This window comes from Homo sapiens, chromosome 1, assembly GCF_000001405.40.
Source record: "Homo sapiens chromosome 1, GRCh38.p14 Primary Assembly".
In the NCBI taxonomy this organism is placed as follows: domain Eukaryota; kingdom Metazoa; phylum Chordata; class Mammalia; order Primates; family Hominidae; genus Homo; species Homo sapiens.
In genome coordinates, this window is record NC_000001.11 from 152,591,815 (window position 1) to 152,614,098 (window position 22,284).

General features: G+C 41.4%; 2 protein-coding genes across 2 annotated transcripts; both read left to right on the plus strand.

Annotated features, from left to right (window-relative positions):
- The first annotated feature begins 8,419 nt into the window (after positions 1-8,419).
- LCE3C (late cornified envelope 3C) lies at positions 8,420-9,272 on the plus strand. Its single transcript, NM_178434.3, has 2 exons — positions 8,420-8,470; positions 8,893-9,272. Exon 2 carries the CDS (start codon positions 8,918-8,920, stop codon positions 9,200-9,202), a length of 285 nt encoding a protein of 94 aa, NP_848521.1. The 5' UTR covers positions 8,420-8,470; positions 8,893-8,917; the 3' UTR covers positions 9,203-9,272.
- Positions 9,273-21,996: 12,724 nt separating this feature from the next.
- Positions 21,997-22,284, plus strand: LCE3B (late cornified envelope 3B). The gene has a single exon (NM_178433.1). The coding sequence runs from the start codon at positions 21,997-21,999 to the stop codon at positions 22,282-22,284; it is 288 nt and encodes a 95-aa protein (NP_848520.1).

Sequence of the window (22,284 nt, forward strand, 5' to 3'; positions counted from 1 at the left end):
TAACCCTTTATCAGATATATGGTTTGCAAATTTTTTTTCCACTCTGTGGGTTGTCTGTTCACTTTGTTAATTGGTTCTTTGGCTGTGCAGAAGGTTTTTAGTTTAACTAACAAAAGCAATCCAATTTTTCTATTTTTGCTTTCGTTGCCTGAGCTTTCAGGGTCATATTCAAAAAATTATTGCCCCGAGCAATGTCATGGAGCTTTCCCCCTATGTTTTCTTCTAATAGTTTTAAAGTTTCAGGTATTATGTTTATGTCTTTAATCCATTTTGAGTTTATTTTTGTGTATGCTGCAAAATAAAGGTCTAATTTCACTTTTATGCATGATAACCAGTTTTCCCAGCACTACTTATTGAAGAGACTGTCCTTTACCCATTGTGTGTTCTTGGTACCTTTGTCAAAAGTCAATCGACTGTGAACGCTTAGGTTTATTCCCTGGCTTTCTACTAAATTGTTCCATTTGTCTATGTGTCTGTTTTTATGCAAGCACTGTGCTGTTTTTACTACTGTAGCTTTGTAGTAGATTTCAAAAATAGGTCAGGTGATATCCCCAGCTTTGTTATTTTTGTTCAAGATTGCCTTGAACTGTTTGTGGTCTTTTGTGCTTTCACGTGAATTTAAAGATTATTTTTGGCCTGGCGTGGTGGCTCACACCTGTAATCCCAGCACTTTGGGAGGCCGAGACGGGCGGATCACGAGGTCAGGCGATCGAGACCATCGTGGCTAACACGGTGAAACCCCGTCTCTACTAAACATACGAAAAAATTAGCTGGGCGTAGTGGCGGGCGCCTGTAGTCCCAGCTACTCGGGATGCTGAGGCAGGAGAATGGCGTGAAACCTGGAGGCGGAGCTTGCAGTGAGCCGAGATCGCGCCACTGCACTCCAGCCTGGGCGACAGAGCGAGACTCCGTCTCAAAAAAAAAAAAAAAAAAAAAAGTTTTTTTTTCTATTTCTGTGAAAATGGCAATGGAATTTTGATGTAAGTTGTATTGCATCTACAGATCACTTCGAGTAATATGAACATTTTAACAATGTTAACTTTTTCAAACCATGAACATATTTTTATATGTGTTTTCTTAAATTTATTTGATTAGTGTTTTAATAGTCTTTAGTATACACGTTTTTCACCTCCTTAGTTAAATTTACACCTAAGTATTTTATTTTCTTTTTTTGCTGATGTAAGTGGGATTGTTTCCTTAGTTTTCTGCTTGGATAACTCATTATTAGTGTATAGAACACTACTTATTTTCATATGTTGATTTTGTGTCCTGCAACTTTACTGAATTTATCAGTTCTAACAAGTTTTTGGTGGACTCTTTAGAATTTTCTTTATATGAGATTATATTGTCAGCAAATAGAAACACTTTCATTAATTCCTTTTGTCTTAGGATTCCTTTTATTTCTTTCTCTTGCCTAGTTGCTCTGGTTAGGACTTCCAGAACTATGTTGTAAAGAATTGTGAGAGTGGGCCTCCTTCTTTTATTCCTAATCTTAGAGAAAAAGCTTTCAACTTTTCATGATTAAGTACGATGTTTGCTATAGGTTTGTCAGATATGGCTTTTATTGTTTTGAGGTACATTTCCTTTATACCTATTCTATTGAGAGTTTTTATCATGAAAGGATATTGAGTTTTGTCATATGCTTTTTCTGCATCTAATGAGTTGATTACATGGTTTTTATTCTTCATTTTATTAGTGGAATGAGTCACATATATTCATTTGTATTTTTTGAACCATCCTCGCAGCCCTGGGTAAATCCCATTTGATCAGGGCAGATGATTCGTTTAACATGCGGTTGCATTTGGTTTGCTAGCAGTTTGGTAAGGATTTTTGCGTTTAGGTTTATCAAAGGCATTGGCCTGCAATTTTCTTTTCTCGGAGTGTCCTTGTCTGGATTTGGTATCAGAGTAATGTTGGTCTTGTAAAATGAGTTTGAAAGTATTCCTTCTTCTTCAATATTTTGGAAGAGTTTCAGAAGGATTGGTATACAATCTTCTTTAAGAGATTGGTAGAATTTATTTCTAAAGCCACCCAGTCCTGGGCGTTTCTTTGATAGGAGACTGTTACTGATTTAATCCCTTATTTATTGCTGATTTAATCCCTTTACTCACTATTGGTCTGTTAAGGTTTTCTATTCATGAGTCAGTTTTGTTAGGTTCTATGTGTTTAGGAATTTATAAATTTCTTCTAGATATCCAATTATCTGGCCTACAGTTGTTATAATCATTTGTATTTCTGTGGCATCAGTTATAATGTGTCCACTTTCATTTCTGATTTTTATTTCTTTGAGCCTTCTTTCTTTTTTTCTTAGTTAGTCTAGCTAAGGTTTGTTGATTTTGTTTATCTTTAAAAAAATAATTATTTGTTTCATTAATTTTTTCTACTGTTTTCCTAGGCTCTATTTTATTTATTTCTGCTTGGATCTTTGTCATTCCTTTCCTTCTCTTAACTTTGGGCTTAGTTTGTTCTTCTTTTTCTAGTTCCTTGAGATGTAACATTACATTGTTTATTTGAGATCTTTTGTCTTTTTGATATAGACATTTATTGTTATTATTTTCCCTCTTAGCACTGCTTTTGCTGCATCCCACAAAATTTGTTTTGTTGTGTTTTCATTTTTGTTTATCTCAAGGCATTTTTTGATTTTCTTTTTTTATTTCTTCTGTGACCCATTGGTTTTTAAGAGCATCTTGCTTGATTTTCACATATTTTAAAATTTTATAAGGTTTCTCCTGTTACAGATTTCTAGTTTGATGTCATTGGTTGGTTGGTATAGTTTTAATCTTCCGAGATTTGTTAAGAATTGTTTTGTGGCCTAACATACAGTCTATTTTAGAGAATATTCTATGTGCTCCTGAGAAGAAAGTATATTCTGTTGCTGTTTGGTGGAATGTTTTGTATGTGTCTGTTAGTTCTCTTTGGTCTGAGGTGTAATTCAAGCCTAGTGTTCCCTTATTAACTTTCTGCTTAGATGAGCTGTCTATTGTTGAAAGTAGAGTATTGAGATTTCCTGTTGTTATGGTATTGCAGTCTATCATTCCCTTCAGAAAATTTAATAATTGCATTGGTATATATGTGCTCTTATGTTGGGTGCATATATATTTACAATTATATTCTTTTGATGGCTTAGCACTTTCTATTGCCGTAAAATGACCTACTCTGTCTTTTTTATAGTTTTTGACTTAAAGTATATTTTATATGCTATAAGTATAGCTACCATGCTCTCTTTGTTTCCATTTTTATGAAGTATCTTTTCCCATCCCTTCATGTTCAGTCTATGTATGTCCTTAGAAGGAAAGTGAGTCTCTTGTAGGCAGCATATGGTTTGATCTTTAAAAAAATCTATTGAGCTCCTCTGTCTTTTGATTAGATAACTTAATCCTGTTACAGTCAAGACAATTTTTGATAGTTTAAACTTACTACCATTATTTTCTTAATTGTTTTCTGGTTGTTTTCTTGATCTTTTGTTTCTTTCTTAATTTCTTGTTCTCTTCCTTTGTGGCTTATAGTTTTCTGTGGTGGTCTTCTTTGATTTTTTTTTATATTTTGTTCTACAGGATTTTGCTTTATGGCTACCATGGGGCTTATATAAAACATCCTAAATTTGAAACAGGCTATTTTAAGCTAATAACTTTAATTACAAACAGAACTGCACATTAATTCCCTCCTTCCCCTTGTATACTTTTGATATTTACCTAGTTTTATAATTTATATCTCTTAATTATTTATTGTAGCTACAGTTATTTTTAATAGTTCTTTTTTTAATCCTCATAGGACAGATAAAATTGTTTTATGCTTCACCCTTACAGTTTTAGAATATTCTGAATATGATTACATAGTCATATTACTTATACCATTGAGATATTTACTTTTGTGTTTTTGTTATTAATTAGCAGATTTTCATTTTAGCTTGAAGAACTCCCTTTAGCAATTCCTATGGAGCAGGCCTAGTGATGATGAATTCCCTTAGCTTTTGTTTGTCTGAGAAAGTTTTTATTTCTGCCTAATTTCTGAAGAGCAGACTTTCCAGGTAATGTATCCTTGGTTAGCACTTTTTTCTTCAGAATTTTGAATATCTCATTCTACTTTCTCATGGCCTGCAGAATTTCTGCCAGGAAAGCTGTTAACAGCTGTATTGGGACTGCTTTGAATGTGATGTTTCTTATCTCTTGGTGTTTTTTTTTTGTCTTGCATTTTTGATAATTTTATTCTAGAATTTTTTGATAATTTTATTCTAGAATTAATGTTTGGGTTGAATTTACTTGGAGACTTATGAGCTTCCTATACCTGAATGCTGTCATCTTTCTTCAGATTTTGAAAATTTTTAGTCATTATTACCTTAAATGTGCTTTCTGGGCCTTTGTCTCTCTCTTCTTCTTCTTCAGAAACTCCTATTATGTGGAGGTTAATTCTCTTAATAGTGTCCCATAATTTCTGTAGGTCTTTTCCATTCTTTTTTCTTTTTACTCCTCTAACTGGATAATTTCAAATATCCTATCTTCAAGTTATTCTTTCTTCCACTTGATCAAGTCTGCTGTTGAAGCTTTCTATTGAATTTTATAGTTCTGTTATTACATACTTTATCTCTAGGATTTCTATTTTTATTGTTTCTATTTATTTGGCAATCTCCTCATTTTGTTTTATAAATTGTTTTCCACATTTAATTTAGTTTTTTATCTGTATTTACTTGTAGTCCCCTATAAGTAATACGACTATGTATCATATTCAGAATATTCTAAAGCTGTAACAGTGAAGTATAAAAAAGCTTTATCTTTCCTGTGAAGATTAAAAAGACACAACTATTAAAAATAACTGTAGGTACAATAAATTATTAACGGATACATTTTACAAAACTAGGTGAATTTTTTTTTTTTTTTTTTGAGATAGAGTCTTGCTCCGTCACCCAGGCTGGAGTGCAGTGGAATGATCTCGGCTCACTGCAACCTCTGTCTCCCAGGCTCAAGCAATTCTCCTGCCTCAACCTCCCAAATAGCTGGGACTACAGGTGCATGCTGCCACACACGACTAATTTTTTGTTTTTTAGTAGAGACGGGGTTTCACCGCGTTTAAGATAATTGTTCTGAATTCTTCATCAGTCATTTTATAAATCTTCACTTCTTCAGGATCCCTTATTGGAGATTTATTAATTTCCTTATGATGATGATGTATTTTTTCAGATTTTTCATAATCCTTGTGTCCTTGCATTGGTGCCCAACCATTTGAGGAAATGGCCAACTATTCCGCCTTTGTTTGTGTTATTTGGCCATGGTATACCTTCACTATTTGATCAAACCTGGAATTCTGATTAAGCAAGTTGGTGGTGACCTTGAACGGGAAGACCTTGCTGTCATGCTCTCTAGCTGGGCTGAACTGTTAACTGTACTGGTTGAGTAGAATTTCTGGCTCTGTTCCATGGTCTGGTGAGAGAACTGGCTGGACTCTGTAATAAGACAGAGCTGCTGGCTGAAATTGCCTCTGATTGAGCAGTATTGTTGGTTGTCTTCCTTAGATGGCCAGTACTACAGTTTTGAATATGTAGTTGGGCAAGGCCATGTTTTAGGTGTCAAGGCTGAACAAAGACTCTGAGATTGCTACCTAACCATGCAGGGTGACAGGACCAGAGGCTGTGCTCCACAGATACACATGGGCATGGGTTCAGCTCTAATCCTGGGATGACCTAAGGCAGAGCACCATGGCTTGATATATTAGCCACTTGGATGCTGGGCCTGGGTGGAACAGATGCTCCTTCTACAGTTAATTGCCACCATGCCCCTGTTTTCTGGCCTTAGGAAGCGTTAAGGAGCACAAAGGGCAGGGCTTGACTGGGTGAAAGCTTGGCAGCTGGGAATGGTTGGGGCCAGATGTTCTCTTTGCAGGTAATTGCCATTCTACCCTTATCTCCTGGCCTGGGGAAGTTTCAAGGGGAGCACTGGGGCTGAGTGTGGAAGCTGAGCAGAGATTCAAACCTGGCAGACTAATCAACTGTGCTTCTTGTTGAGCATTGCAAGCCTCTCTGGTGGTGTGCCTCTGCTGGCCAGAATGCAGAGCAACTATCAAGACCCCTGAACTGGTCACTGTGAGTCTCACCCTGTTCTGAGTTTCTAAATAAACATTGCTAATGTTTCCTGTGGGATAAGACAAGAGAGTTTCTTCTGCGAAGGATTCCAAAATGGTGGGAAAGCTGAATGTTCATTCTCAACTCTCTCTTCCCTCTGTAAAAGCCATGGGTTCTGGGAATCCTCTTATGTGTGATGTGCTGGCTTGAGGGAGGGACAGTGTGGTCAAAGTAAAACCTCCTCTTGCTCTACGTGTGTGGTTTTTCTCAGTACTGTGGTCCAAGGGGATGTCTGTGCCTCACTTCAAGTTCTGAGATATTCACAAGGGTATCCTTGTCTGCTGTTGGTTGCTAGTTGGATTTCTGTGGTGGGACTACTGGAGTCAGAGAATTCCTATTCTATTATATTTCTAACATCTCCCCTAGTATGAACATTTTAGCAACATTCACTTTTCCAGTCTGTGAACATGTAATATCTTTCTATTTGTGTCTTCATTTTCTTTCCTCAATGTTTTATAGTTTTTAGTATACAGATCTTTCACTTCTTTGGTAAAATTTATTCCTAAGTATTTTTTGGATGATATTATAAATGGGATTTTTAACTTCTTTTTTTGGATAGTTGTTATGGTATGTGTAAGTGCTACTGATTTCTGTACGTTGATTTTGTATTAAAGTCTTAAACATAAGACCTGAAATTTTAAAACTACTGGAGTAAAACACAGGGGGAAAACTTCTTGACATTAGACCTGGGCAAATATTATTTTTGAATTTTGACCCTAAAAGTACAGGCAACAAAATAAAAAATAGACAAATGTGGTTGCATCAAAGTAAAAAGCTTCTGCAAAATAAAGCAAACAGTTAATGGAGTGAAGAGACAACATACAGTATGTGATAAAATATCTGTGAACTACACATCTGATAAGGAGTTAATATTCAAAATATTTTAGAAACTCAAACAACTCAGTAGCAAGAAAACACATAAACCAATCAAAAAAGTGGGCACAGGGAGTTTCCCAAAAGAAGCCATACAAATGGCCTACAGTATATATAAAAATGTGCTCAACATCGCTAATAATCAGGGAAATGCAAGTTAAAAACACAATATCACCTCACATCTGCTAGAATGGCTATTATCAAAAGACAAGAAATAACAAGTATTGGCAAAGATTTGGAGAAAAGGGAACCTTTTTACAGTATTAGTGGGAAAGTAAAGTAGTATGGCCATTGTGGAAAACAGTGTGAAGTTTCCTTAAAAAATTAAAAATGAAACTACTATGTGATTCAACAATCCCACTACTGGGTATATAGCTAAAGGAAATGAAATCAGTATTTTGAAGAGATATCTGCACTCCCAAATTTATTGCAGCATTGTTTACTACAGTCAAGATATAGAATCAACCTAAGTGTCCTTTAGTGGGTAAATGGATTAAAAAACATGTTATATAAGTGTAATGGAATACAACTCAGCCTTATATAAAAAGGGAAGTTTCTAATTTGTGACAACATGTATAAACCTGAAAGATATTATGCTAAGTAAAATAAGCCAGATATAGAAAGACAAATATTCGTGATCTCACTTTTATGTGGAATCCTAAAAAGTCGAGTGCGTGGAAGTAGAAATGATCATTATCAGGGGTTGGGTTGGGGAGTGGGGAAGAACTGGGGAGATGTTGGTCAAAGGATACAAAATTTCAATAAGACCGGAGTAATAAATTCAGGAGATTTATTGTACAGCATGATGACTATAACAATGTATTGTATTTTTGAAAATTTCTAAAAGAGTAGACTTTGAGTGGTCTTATTACAAAAAATGGTAAGTGTGTCCAGCTGTCATTCCTGGAGAACACCTGAAAACCATCACCCTTTGGGACCATCAGTGCAATAGAGGACTGACTTACAAAGGCTGTGGTCTTAGGCTTGAAGTCTTTTTAAACACTTCTGTGATAGTGCTTATTCTGTCAGATCAAATATATTTACTTTTCTGAGTGATAGTCCATTTAGGCTGTAAGGTGCTCAATGGAAGAAATATGTCCGATACATCTCCATACTACTACTGTTGAAAGAAGTAAAACGAACAGAGCTTGGAATGAACAAGCAGAGGTGGGCAGGAGGTACAGGGTGGACCAGAGTGGGAAGTACTTCTGCAGTCACGAGGACATCCTGCTTCCATCTTATTAAATCTTTAGGCATGTGCCCAGGAAGACACAGGGGTCATCTTATTACACCTTTAGGCACATGCTGAGGCAGCAGGCAACTGGGAAGTGTCTGGTGCTGTCACCTCCCTGGTTGTGAAAACAGCAGCATACTCAGGTTGTGCATCATCGTGTACACTGCACGGGATAAAAGGGCTCCTACCCTGGGCTTCTCATCCACAGCATCCTTAGGAGCAGCCTTCTTCTCCTACCTCCTCTGCATCTGGTGAGTGGCCAGCAGGGGACAGATCCTCAGCTGGGAGTGTTTGGGAAAGAGAGGCCCAGAACTGAAATGGAACCATCAGAAAGAAGCCCACAGTGGGCAGCAGTGGGGGAGGTGATGGAGAATAAGGAGCCTCTAAAGCACATGTCAGGGACCCGTGAGCTGCAAAACCCGCAGGACCTTAGGATTCCTTCACATTCTTGTTTGGAGCATGTTGTCAGGAATGCACATAGATCCATTTTATATTTTTAAGGTTGCTTTATCCAAATGCATGTGTAGGGTTCCCTCTACTACATTCCCATTTCTCTCCTACAGATCTTGGCTTAGAAAGTGGCTTCATCAAGGGGGTCAGTGTGTGACAAACCCAAAAATAAGGAGATGGTCTGAGGGTTCTGTGCTCAAATGTTTCTATTATTCTGTTCAAGGTAAAATTCCTGCATTCCTGCAAAGATGTCCTGCCAGCAAAACCAGCAGCAGTGCCAGCCCCCTCCCAGTTGTCCCTCACCCAAGTGTCCCCCAAAGAGCCCAGCACAGTGTCTGCCTCCACCCTCTTCTGACTGTGCTCTAAGCTCCGGGGGCTGTGGCCCCAGTTCTGAAAGTGGCTGCTGCCTGAGCCACCACAGGCACTTCAGGTCCCATCAATGCCGGCGCCAGAGATCCAACTCCTGTGACAGGGGCAGTGGTCAGCAAGGCGGGGGCTCCTGCCGTGGCCATGGCTCTGGGGGCTGCTGCTGACCTGGATCCTGATGATGAGACAAGTGATCTTTGGAGGAAACAAGGATCCCAAAGGCCCAGGAAAAGCTCCATCCTGATGCATGCTTTTCCAGATACCTTGTTCTGGCTTTCACAAGCTGAGCTGGGGGTGTTCCTGTTGAGTATCCAAGCTGTCCCCAGAAGGTGCTTCCTGTCTGGTGTATAGGATCTCACAGTTCCCTCATCCCTGCCCCTGCCAAGGATTGGCAGTTCCCTGTGCCTAACCCTGCCAAAAAATAAAGCTTCTTGTTCTCATTACCACGGTGTCTCACTTGTTAGGAAACTATCCAGGATTTATCCATCCAGGCCAGGTTCTCCTGTCACCCGAACTCGCAGGACCTTAGAAAGCCAGAGATTTAAGTGTGTTACCCCTGGTAGAGGTGACCCCAGAGAGCTGACCTCATGCTCGGGCAAGTAACTGGGCTGTGTTCTCCCAGCCAACCCTCTGTCATCACAGGACACCTGCTCAGCCTCAGACCTGTGTAGTTTTTGCTCTGATGACAAACAGAGGAGCGAGGAATTGGGAGCCCCTCATGGAGGGGAGGAAAGGTTGATGGGCACCATCACCAGGATGGGTATGGAGCCTCCCAAGCCAGGCATCAGGGTTGGGGCTGTGGAGAAACTCATTTGTGGACATCTGCTGCATTCCATAGGAACAGAAAGGGCCCCCCATTACAGTTCTGGGGTGTTCTGAAACTTCAGAACTTACTCCTCTGTTGTTGTATCCCAATGACTACAGATTTTACTCCTAAGAAGCAAAAGTGGTCACTCAGCTATATTCAGCCCCACAATCTGGCTACCATGAGAAAGTGCTTGGTCTATCTCTTTTAAATGTCTCTTTGCAGGACAGAGGCCACTGAAGGGACCCTTAACATTAAGAGTAAAGTGGCCACCCAAGAGTAGTTCAAGGGATAATTCCTGAAAATACTTCCAAGACAGAGACAGGGGTCATGTGCTGGAGGCAGGAAAATGCTGCTGAGAATATCAATACCTAAACCTACCCTCTCCCCAGTCCACATTCAGAGCCACCCTCTTTCCTACGGCCCAGTGCCTTTATGCTCCCACAGGCATCACTATTTCAGTTTGCTAGGGTGGGCTGTCAGGCAGAATAAGAAGACAAAAATTATAACCCCAATAGTGAACATAATTTAATTTTTGTTGACAATTATAATTTAATTTAAATATGTATAAAGTTTGATTACAGCCTGACTGATTTATCTTGAAAAATATCTAGAAAAAGGTACTTATTTTAATATTAGAGATTAATTGAATGAGAAATTTATCTACAATTAAAATGAAATTCGCAGAGAAAATAGCATTCAGTTTGCATCAATTCTCCGTACCCAAAATATAGACATGATCAGGTCAGCTCCATTACATGAGATGCACCCAGCACTACCATCAACCTCAAAAGCAGCAACACATACCAAAGTCATCTTCATCAAGCCCATCCATTATCATGCATGCTTGCAGAACTTCATTTCGAGTCCAAGCAGATGAACGACTCCTCCCTCTGTGTTTTCATGGTCTTCAAATAAAGAGCACACATTCCCTGGATTTTGATGGAAGGTCATGCCTTTTGTAATGTGCTTACTGTGACTCTTGGCACTCCAATTGTTGTACTTTCCTTCTCCATATTTGCCCCTCAATCAGGTATTCATTTGGCTCCCCTCCTCTCCTGCCCAGGGGCCTATGTTACCTCCTGGGTACCAGTGAGGCTCTTTCAAGAGTCCTCATCTCCGCTGACTTTACCCTTCCATCTGTTTTACACACAGCCCATTCTGAATGTCCAGCATCCTTACCTCAGTCACCACCCCAACAGCAAGTGCTGATCACATCTGATGCTTGATTTTCCTAAGGGAACATTACAGAAAAAAGTAGATGGGCAAAGAACCATGGACTTCGTGGGTAGTCATTTACATTGCAGTACTTATCTCATGGAAGCAGTCTCCCTATTTACTTGACTGCCTGTGCAGTTAGACAGTTAATTTCTATAGGTCAGGTGATGTGTCATATTGAACTCTACCTTCCACCACAATGCATGGAGCATGACATATTTTAAGCACACATGTAGGCCTGGGTGGAAGGTGTACAAGTGAGGACCAGGGCTTCCTGTGTCAAACATGCCACCCTGTTCCTGGGAAGACGGTGAAGGCCTGGACCTGGGCTGGGTTGTTTGGTGCTGTCACCTCCCCGAGCAACCCATTCATGCTGCCCCTCACAATCTAGCAGCTCTGTCTTGGGCTTCCCAGACCATGGACTTCTTTCGAATAAGCTTTCTCTTGCTGCCATGAAACCAGATGGATGTCTAGCTGGAGACAGGACCTGAGCTGGAAGACCTAGGAAGACAAGCCCGGGTTTCTTCCATCAGGGGAGAAGGAAGCAGAGGGTATGGGATGGAGGAAGCAGGAAGAGTGTGGGGTTAATGGGCACCCTCCCGGGATGTATCAGGTGTCCTGTGACTGCGAAGGTCATGGGTCTTCAGCACACCCTCATCTTCTTCCTATATATGTTCTGAGAGATGCACTGATCTCACCAGACATCATCAAGGAAGCTTTACCCAAACAGGTTTATTCTCCTCTGTGATTACATGAAGATAGGACACCTCAGCTGCTCAATTAGAAAAGACCCAGTATCATTTTGTAGCAGGTGACCAAAGAGAAAAGAACATCTTTCCAGGATAAACTAACTCCAAATTTATTTTCATTTCCTCCCTATATTTCTTTTCTTTTCTTTTCTTTTTTTTTGAGACGGAGTCTCGCTCTGTCACCCAGGCTGGAGTGCAGTGGCGTGATCTCGGCTCACTGCCAGCTCTGCCTCCCAGGTTCACGCCATTCTCCTGCCTCAGCCTCCCGAGTAGCTGGGACTACAGGTGCCCGCCACCACGCTGTACTAATTTTTTGTATTTTTAGTAGAGACGGGGTTTCACCATATTAGCCAGGATGGACTCGATCTCCTGACCTGGTGATCCGCCTGCCTCGGCCTCCCAAAGTGCTGGGATTACAGGCGTGAGCCATGGCCCCTGGTCCTCCTCCCTATATTTCTTAGTGCAGAAGTACACCCATCAGAGAAGAGATATTACAAAGATTCATTTGCATTATTGCATTCTCTCTAGAGTCATTGATGCTTTCTGAGATTTTGTGTCAGCAAAACGCGCAGCAGGGATAGCCTCCAAAGGCTCCCAGAGTTCCCCACCCAGTCTGAGCCCCATGTCTAGTCTACCTTCAGTCTTCTCCTGCTATGGCTCCAGCTCCAGGGGTTGCTTTAACTCTTAGGGGGCAGCTGCAGCCTGGGCTACCACAGGTGCTATCTCTTCCACTGGCACAGGCACTAGAGACATGACTGCTGTGAGTTTACCCACTGGCAGCTGCAGCTGTTGCCAGAGCTTTGGGCACTGCTGCTGACCTGGGCAGTGCATTGAGATAAGCAGTTTTAGAGGAATCAGAGACCCAAAGTGCCCAGGATTAACCTCAGTCTGATGTACCTGCTCCTAACCTCCTGCCCATGGTCGGAGCTCCTGAGTTCATCCTGACAAGGGTTGTCAGTGATCTCCAGTGGTCTCCCTGGTGTCCCTCATGGTTGTCTCCACATCCATGTTCTGGTCAGTGCTTAGCAGCACTTATGTCTCACTCTGTAAAAAATAAAGCTTTCCTTTCTCACCTACGTTTCTATATTGCCCCTCCGAAGGCTGCTCCATTGCTCTCCCATGCCTTATCTCCCAGACTGAATGCTTCACAGGATGAGAGGAATGAGAGACAACACTTCTCTCTACTCATAGGGAGACCATGAGTTGCTGCTAGGAAGAGGCTACAGAAGGCCACATGGCTGCAGGGAGGAAAGTTCACCTTATTTCTATATGGAAGATCTGGGTGTTGAGGAGGTAGGAAGGGATCCTTGAAAGCTGAATAGTTGATGGGTGCAAGGAGAGAAATGTAGATGGTTGCAGAGGTATACACTGAGAGGAACTTAGAAGAAGTAAGAAAATAAAAACCTGATCATTGCAGGAGTTGTAAACTGGATATATTCATAGGGTCAATGATTTGTATACTACTCATGATGTGCCAGTGGCTTGACATACAGTAAATAATTTAATCCTCACTGCAGTCCTTCAAGTTACGTACAACCCTTGTCCCATTTTACAGATGGGAATCATCATGGAATGAGTGTCCAGGGTCTCCCAACAGCTGCCATGCAAACCTTGGCAGTTTTGCTGAGAAGCCTATGCTCCTGATGACTGTGGTGTTCTAAGTTCTTCTAAAATGTTTTAAGAGATGTGAGTAAACAATGGATTTGTTTTGTAATTATTTTAGTCCACAGTATTTTGTTGTTTGAATTATACATCACTAAACCACCAAACCATATGAATCACACTTTTAAGGAGTTCGCCTCCCAGAGTTTGGACCCAGAGTGTAGTATTCAGCTGCACCACAGGATTAAAATCATTATTTTTGATGTGCATTAAAACAACAATTCACTTTCACTACCAATTTTGAGAATGTTAATGAACTGGAGAAAGACTCAGTAAAAATTCAAGCCTTGGTGCTCATCAGTAAAATACTAGCAATCCAAGGAGGTCTCATAAACTCTGAGCCAAAGTGAAAGAGCAGATCTTAAGAGTAGTTTAGGGCTAGATACAACAGAGAAATTAATGTATCCAGTAATAGGTGAATATATTAAATTTTAGAAGCTTTTTTTCCAAGCTCTTGGGAAATAGGGAAAAGAAAATTACTCCCCTCTTCTGTGTTCATAGACATTCATTTTCTTAACTCATTGGGATGAAAAAGGTACCCAAAGGGATCCTATGAGGAAGTTGATGTCAGAACTGCTCTGATGAGTTTAGATCGACTGCCCAGCTCAATTCCTCTTAGTTGCCATGCCTGGGTTTATTGCCCTTGGATGGATACAGGCTCCACATCTTACTCATCCCATCAACCATCCCAGGTGACAGCAGGTGACACCATCTGGATTCATCATTTACTCTGGCTGGATTCATCATTTACTGATTCAACTAGCTAAGAAAGATTTGTTTAAGAAGTTACCACAGCTGTAGGACTTATAAAAGCCTATGATACAGACTTTTGATTCACTACGACAACCACTTGCTACTCAAAAATTGAGAAACTCTTGAATAAAATCAGCCCAGGCGACATAAAGAATGTTGTGTTATGACTTCTAGACCAAGTCCAACACCCAATCATTCATAATTTATCTGCTCAACACGTAGTTTTGTGGCACTGGTCTAGGTGTTTAGATCAGTGTGAAACAAGATGAAGTCCCCTTTCAGGCAGCTTATGTTCCAGTGGGCCCATTGGAGACATCTTCTGGTTTCCTGGCTTGTCAGCAGATTTAGACAAAGATGGTTCTATATTCAGTTGGATTCCCACTCTGGGGCACTTGACAGATGCCGGTAAAGGGTGGCTAAACCCAGTGAAGGCACCCATCATGGGCAAACTTTTGAAAACTGGATATCATTTTTTGGGTGAATACAAAAAGGACATCCAATGTCTGGTTGTTTCCACATCAAAGGTAGGAGCTTAGTGAGTCAAGGGGTAGGTGGGTGATTCCAATGGTGAAATGTTTGTTTAAAAGTTGAAAAGTCCTTGTCCCTTCCCAGTGCCTTTCTCACTTCCCAGTTCTCAGTGAACAACCCCATTCACCCAAGTATCTTGAAAGTGCTTCTGTTTGGTACTTAGCTATAATGTATGGAGCAAATAAAAAAAATGGCCACACCTATACCCTTCCCTGTATCAGGATACTCAGACACATTTAATGCAATAATAATGTTTTATTAAAACCTTGTCGTTTTAGGATATGTTTGAAACTTACATGTGTATTCCATTTTTACATACTTTTAATATATCATGATTCAGGATAAAATATATATCTATTATTATAATAAATGCATTGGAAAAATACTATAGAGTTTAGTGCTCTCTCTACAACCTTGGTCCATGTTGTGTCAGGTGCTCACGGTGATCATATTAACCTCATTATAATCATACCCATCAATTATCATTTCTATTTGGACAAATCTCTTTTAGTCATCCCATCCAATTTGAATCACTCTCTTCCCTGGGTCTCTTAGAATCAATAGTACAGTCGCTAAGATCCTGACACAAGGTTCCTTAAATGTATGTTAATCCATGATGCATATTACCAAAGCCATTGTGGATTTCTTATACTTGTCTCTGAATTTACCTGTGATATCCCTGGGTCATTTTGCCTCCATGTAAACAGATTTGTTTTGCCTCAGACATCTTTACCTTAATACAGCTATTAGGAGAAGCAGGGAAAGATTAAAACCTAGAAGTTCCTGTCTCCAAAATGGATGCTCTTAATGAGCAAATTATTCTGCATTCAAGACTGTACATGTCCCCAGTATTCCCCTCAGCCCTGTTCTACCTCGACCTCAGCATTGTCTCTTTCTCCTGGGCACCTCCTTGATGTTTCTTGGGTCCACAAATTTCTCTTAGTTGCCATGCCTCGGTTTACTGCCCTTGGATGGATACAGGCTCCACTTCTCATTCATCCCATCAACAATCCCAAGTGACAGCAGGTGACACCTTTTGGATTCATCATTTATTCAGAGTCGCTACAGAACCAAAAGGGACTAATGCCCCAAAACCCTGACTTCAGGCCTGGGGACTCCCACACACTGTATCCCAGCACCCTCTCCTGGCTCAGGCTTAGTTTCCTACTTATCTGTCAGTCTCACTACACCATCAGCCTAAGGGTAGGGATGGTATCTTCTTCAGTCTTGAATCTGCTTTGCCCAGCACAGTGAGTGTCACCATCTCAATATAACTTGTTTAAAGAAGGAATGATGTTAATGAATGAAAAATGAAGAATTGCAGACCTACAGAAAGACTGAGGCACAGGTATGTGAATAGTCACGGGGTTTCTTGAATCCCCACTCTCCTCAAAACTCTTGACACCTGCCATGGAGATACAGAGGTCTTGGGGCTACAGAGGCAAAGAAGCTGACTCCTAAACGAGACTCACATTCTCACCCCTCCCAATCCCAACACCCATTTCTTGCCTGCAAAAGAAAATAGAAAAAGAGCTCTAAGGTTTGCTCAGTCCTCACTGGAATCAGGATGCCTCAACCCAAGTTACTTTCTATTTCCTGCACTCCTCTGCTCGGGAATTTTTCCTAAGTTGTGGATTCAAAGCCACATATGCTTTGAAATAAACATAAAAAGATCCAATTTTTGATCCTGTTTGAGCCATCACAGGCTTTACACATCCCACAAGGCACAGCATCAGCCCTCTGGATGCTGTCACTCATGCAGTGACCAGGGCACTGAAAACCACAGTGGAGCAGGGCTGGATGATCCAGTGAAGCAAAGAGAGAAGCCTCTTCCCAGTGTGGTGATTTTCCTCCTCCCTCACCTCTGCTCCTCCTTGGTGGAGAAGTCCCGTGGAACATTAGTGAAGATAATAAGGGTGGGAATGCCCTTGTAGAAATTACTGTTAATAGTCTGAGAATTGGGCAGGTACTATAAATCCTAATCTTTTGTGTTTCAAAGCCATTTGCATCAACAAGTGTTTGGTTTCGAACTCAGCGTATCCTTGTCTTAGTAATCCCTTCTTAGGTCTTATTACCAGAAAGATCCTCACTCAACAGAATGCCCAGGTGCAGTTCCAGTCAGAACACTCTTGTGGTGCCCACTCCCAATTTTCTCTGTCAAACGTCATTGAGCTCTTTCAATGCTTCCTTTCACTTTTCCCCCAACCACTCTGCTGCAGTTTTGCATCCCACAGTGAACAAGCTTGTGTCCATTCCAAGCCCCCTGGAGATGAGACCTCCCTCAGAGCCAAAGTATATTCATTGAGCAGAGTATCTGTCACTAAAGTGATGCAGCTGCCTGGGACCTAGCACAGACCCTTCATGCCCCTAATATGTCCATTCCTCTCCCTACATTCAGGATAGGCAGAATGTTGAAAGAAAACATGGTAAAAGATAACTGTAGCAAAGAATTGGCAAAAGAGATGGCAGGTGTTGAAGAAACGGAATTTGTCAAGGGTCATATTGGTCAGGGTCTTCTATTGCCTCCCAGAGAGTTTTCCTTTTTCCCCATGGACTACAGGTAAGTAGCACATGAATATTCTCACCATCCAACACCCAACTCCCTGTCCTCCCTCTTGATCTTCTAAGATACTCCTGTTCATGAAAGACTTCCTCCCTGACCTTCCAAACTCCATCATGTCTCCAGTAACTACCCAGTTTCTACTTCCAGTTGCCTTTACAGTACCTGTGTGTGGTCATTATGAAGCTTCCACCAACATTCCTGAACTTGCTTCTCGTTTGTCCTTGGGGACCTGAAATCTGGGCATTTATTGATTTGATTGATGCTAGAAAGGGTGGGAGAATCCAAAACTGCCCCTTTCTTATAAAAACCTAAGAGCCTACTAAGTTGTGTATTGAACAGTCTAAAGTCAGTACAATAAAAACATGAAGCATTGTCTTTTTCGGTCATTGTTTTTTCCTATGCTCTGTTGAATCTCTCTTGAAAATACCTCAGGGAAATTCCACATTTCGTCAGTCACTTCTATGGATACTAAAGTCCAGACCAGCTAAATTTAATTCTGAACAAAATTTGAAACTCAAATTCTCCCTTGCACACAAGCATTGTCCAGGTATCTCCCAGGAGACTGGAGTTGGAAGGGGAATATGATGGGCTCTTTCTCTCATTCACTACCACCCCTCCACCTTCTTCCTCAGTAGCCCTTCCTCCTCCATTGTATTGGGAGATGGAAAAGGGGAGGGAGAATCATTACACATGTGACTGTACCACTAGCCTCCTCTGTTGGCAGGTTCTGCGGCAGGGCTGTCTCTGCTTCTTCTGTGTGGCAGGTTCTGCAGGAGGGCTGTCTTATAGGGTGCTTTTGTGAGTCCTGGAGTATCTTCAAGCATTTTCCTAACAGCATGATTTCCAGACATGGGATGAGCAGTCGGATTTAACCCTTCACGTACTCCCTAAGCTCCTACCTTCGTTGGCACCAGCCATGGCTTCTCGATAATGAGGTCTGTCTGCCCAACAGAAAACCATCCTAAGCACAACACTAGCAAGACTGTGGAAGCTGGTCTTCCTTCTTAGATGTCATCTGCTGTTATGTCTCAATGTCCTGTTCTATCTCTTCAGTTCCTTTTCTTTATTCAACAATAGGCTCAGAGGTTAGAACATCAAGTCTACTACTACAGCAGACATTCTGCTGGGGGATAAAAATGCTGTCTTTCTTTCTTGAAGGAATCTCTAACATCTACAGGCTGTCATTGTGAATCCTGCCCTTTCAATTGACCTCTGTTGTAGGAGAACAACCAGTTTCCCTCCCATGTACAAGATTAGGGGGAGACTACATCATTGTCTTTTAGGATAATAACTTTCCTATCTAAAAAATTCTCACCAAAGTTCAACCTTCCAAATATATAGCTGAACCAGAGAAATAGAGTTCTATTTTTTTTTCTTAGCAAGTCTTGCAGAGATTTTCAGCAGCTTATCCTAAGTTTACTTTAGTATATGGGGATAAGAGGCATCTACTATTTTCATCTTTTGACTTCAGCCAACATCGTAATACAAGAAGAAAATTTGAGTCCAACATCTTCTTACACACTGGGTCCTACCAGAGCTTTCTCAGGAGAATAGAGCGGTGTAAATATCTCAAAATACTATTTAATCTGAGGGAAAAATTCAAATCCATATAAGAAACTTAGGCACGTTGGAGGTATATGGCACTTTCTGGCCACTGCTTCCCATTTTCCTTAAGAATAACTTAGCTGCTTGCCATGGAATTTGATTGTCGCAGACATGGCAGGAACAGAATGGAGAAGGAACTGTGAGTTTTAAGCAAAGGGAGAAGAATTCTGTTTGTTGACTCATCCTTGATTGCTGATGTGGAATGTCCAAAATGCACTCCAAGGGGCTAAATCTGAGGTCCTGCAGTGCCTGTTCCTATAGTACCAATTGGAATGACTAAGTCATGAAATTTTTCCTGGATTCATCCAGCCAGAGCAGTCTCTGTATTTCCTTGATGTCTTTGGGCCACAGGAAGCCAAGGCTCCTCAGGATGGGACTCTCAGGACTAGTGATTCTCAGGGAGGTGCCCTTGTGCTGTAGGGGAAGTGACAAGATCATGATCTTATAGCTACTGTTTGTCATCACGGGACAAATCCTGTGCGTGTGAGAACTGTGGACACCTGATTTCAGGAAGAGGAGAGTGGTGACAGGAGCAATCACTAAGGTAGAAGGGAGATTAATGAGCTCTCCAGGTCTTGTGGGGAGGCTTTCAAGACAGGCAGTCAAGAATGGGGCTGGAGGAAAGCCTAACAGTCATCTATTGTGTTTTATAAAACAGCGGTAACACGATATATTGAATGTCATAGGCAAGGATTTTTTTTCCTTTGAAACTTGCCCAAAATGTGTGATTTATGTTTCTTTCTCAATTAACGCTTCCATCTCCTACCTCCCTCAGCTGCCAATGACTCAGGGTTGCAACCCATGCAGGAAAATGGCTATCATGCTTGCTCTGTTGGGAGGACAAGACTTGCTTATGATAAATACAAGATACAGAGAAATAAACGTTCAGATTTGCAGCAAAGTCTAAACCCCAGTAATTTTTTAACTGAATTTTTCAACAGATTGTGTCCCTCTTCAACTTCACCAGTATGGAATGAGAAAGTACCCATTTCAACCATCATGAGTAATTCCTTCCAATGCACTAGCAATTTGTGTGTTCTAAAGAATGCAAAAGAAATGGACACCTAGTGTAGTCCCGGGGCTAAGCCCAAAAATATCCCTTCAGCAAGAGGCTTCTGCAGGCAGAAGAATATCAGAGAGGGGAGTCAATGACAGGTCTGATCCTTTTCCTCTTCCTCCATTCCCAAGCCACATTCCTAGAGACAATTCACTTTCTCTTAAATATCTCAAAATAAATCATGGAATTCTGCCCCCCACCTCCCACCATGTTTTAAAGAGGGTAAGTTGTAAAGTGCATACTCTGATAAGGAGTTTGTTGTCTAAAAGCCATAAACTATCAAGTACAGGGAGCAATAACAGGCATTTACCATAAACATGTGTTATTTAAAATTACCATTTAACTTAAATTTAATGTTCTGTTATAGTTCTGACTTTAACTTTTTAGAAACAAATAGCAAAGTTCAGGTATTATAATAATAGAGATGAATTCAGTGAAAAATTCATGTCTAAAACTATTATACAATCAAATGGGAAAAATACAAATCAGACTTTATATGTCATCCTACAGAAACCTTAGAATTTATAAGGTTTGTTCCATTAAATTTGATGCACATGATGTTACTACCATCACTAACCTCATCATCAACAATACATTGAACGAATCATGTTCATGACTCACACCAACTATCTTACATATTTTATGCTCATGGACCATTTTATTTGCTTATAATCAGTATCATATATCCCATGGGAAGCTAAATATGGGCAAATTGACCTTTTTCATATTAAGTATGAGTCTTGTGATCTCAACTATTGTATATTCCTTAATGATTTTGTCTGCTTATTCATATAATCCTACCTTAATTCTCTTAAGGGCCCCAACAGCCCCAGACAGGGCTTGTGTCCCATTCTCCATTCATTACCTAATACATCTCACTCCCAGGGTCCAATAGTCTCAGATCACCCAACATCCCCAAGAGTCAGGAGCCAATTACATCTCAACAAACCATGCCCCTGGGGAATATGCAGAGGAATAGGGAAGTGATGTCCAAAAAAAGACATCCTGGGATACCCAGGACGAATCACATGATATCATATCAGACACATAAGTTTACATCTCTGATGTTAGTCCAGTTAACTTTGAAAGGCTCAAGGTCAGGAAATGTGTCATATGCATCTTTACATTCTCCCTCAAAGTGCAAGAGGCAGAGCTCAAACTAAAGCATCCAAACTGAATGAGTGAAAGGAGAAGAAATGACAGGTCCCCAACACACGTGGAGATCTGTCATCAAGACTTCCTGGTTCCCTCTTGCCAGGCATCTTGGCAAGCATGAAGCAAGATGCTGGAGGCCTGGGATGGGAGTGTTTGGCTCTGCCACCTCCCCTTGTTGTGAAAGCAGCATGCCTGGTCTGTGCATCTCTAACCCTGCACAAGATAAAAAGCCTCTTATCTTGGGCTCCTCATCCACAGCCTCCTAGAGAACAGCCTTCTCCTCTTCAGCATCTTCTGTATCTGGCAAGTATCTAGCAGGGGACCCTCAGCTGGGGGTGTCTGGGGAAGATAAGCCCAGATTTTACTAGGGAAGGGGGAAGCAGAGGTGTCAGATGTACAGACAGCAGGAAGAGGACTTCAGAGGGCAGCTGAGGGTAGGGGAAGGGGCAGTGAGCAAGGAACCTCTTTGGGGTGCATGGGAGTCTGTGACTCACCAGAGCCCTGGCTCTCAGCATTCTCTCCACTCTTTTCCTGGGAGATGCATACATGCCCAGTGATATTCTCTGAGAATCATTACTCAATTAGGTGCTTTTGCATCAGTGTTTTTGTGAAGACAGGAGGACTTGGGACCCAGTTAGAAGACACCAGCATTCTTTTCTGGAAGAGGGAAAAATGGAAGGAAATGTCTTACCAGGCCAGTTTTACTTGAGATCAGTTTCTGTTTTTATTCCTGAAGTGCATATCTCAGGAAGCAACTGGTATTAGGAGTAAGGGCTTCATAAAACCATTTGTAGAGGAGACATTAGCCTGGAGCTTTTGCGTTGACCTTTTCCTTTTATCTATCCAGGCTGTCACCTCCTGCCAAGATGTCCTGCCAGCAGAACCAGCAGCAGTGCCAGCCTCTGCCCAAGTGCCCCTCACCCAAGTGCCCCCCAAAGAGCTCAGCACAGTGTCTGCCTCCAGCCTCCTCCTGCTGTGCTCCAAGACCTGGGTGCTGTGGTGGCCCCAGCTCTGAGGGCGGCTGCTGCCTGAGCCACCACAGGTGCTGCAGGTCCCACCGATGCCGGCGCCAGAGCTCCAACTCCTGTGACAGAGGCAGTGGTCAGCAAGATGGTGCCTCCGACTGTGGCTATGGCTCTGGAGGCTGCTGCTGA

Excerpts from the sequence above, each read along its gene's own strand:
- LCE3C (NM_178434.3), top strand. The coding sequence starts at position 8,918 with ATGTCCTGCCAGCAAAACCAGCAGCAGTGCCAGCCCCCTCCCAGTTGT.
- LCE3B (NM_178433.1), top strand. The coding sequence starts at position 21,997 with ATGTCCTGCCAGCAGAACCAGCAGCAGTGCCAGCCTCTGCCCAAGTGC.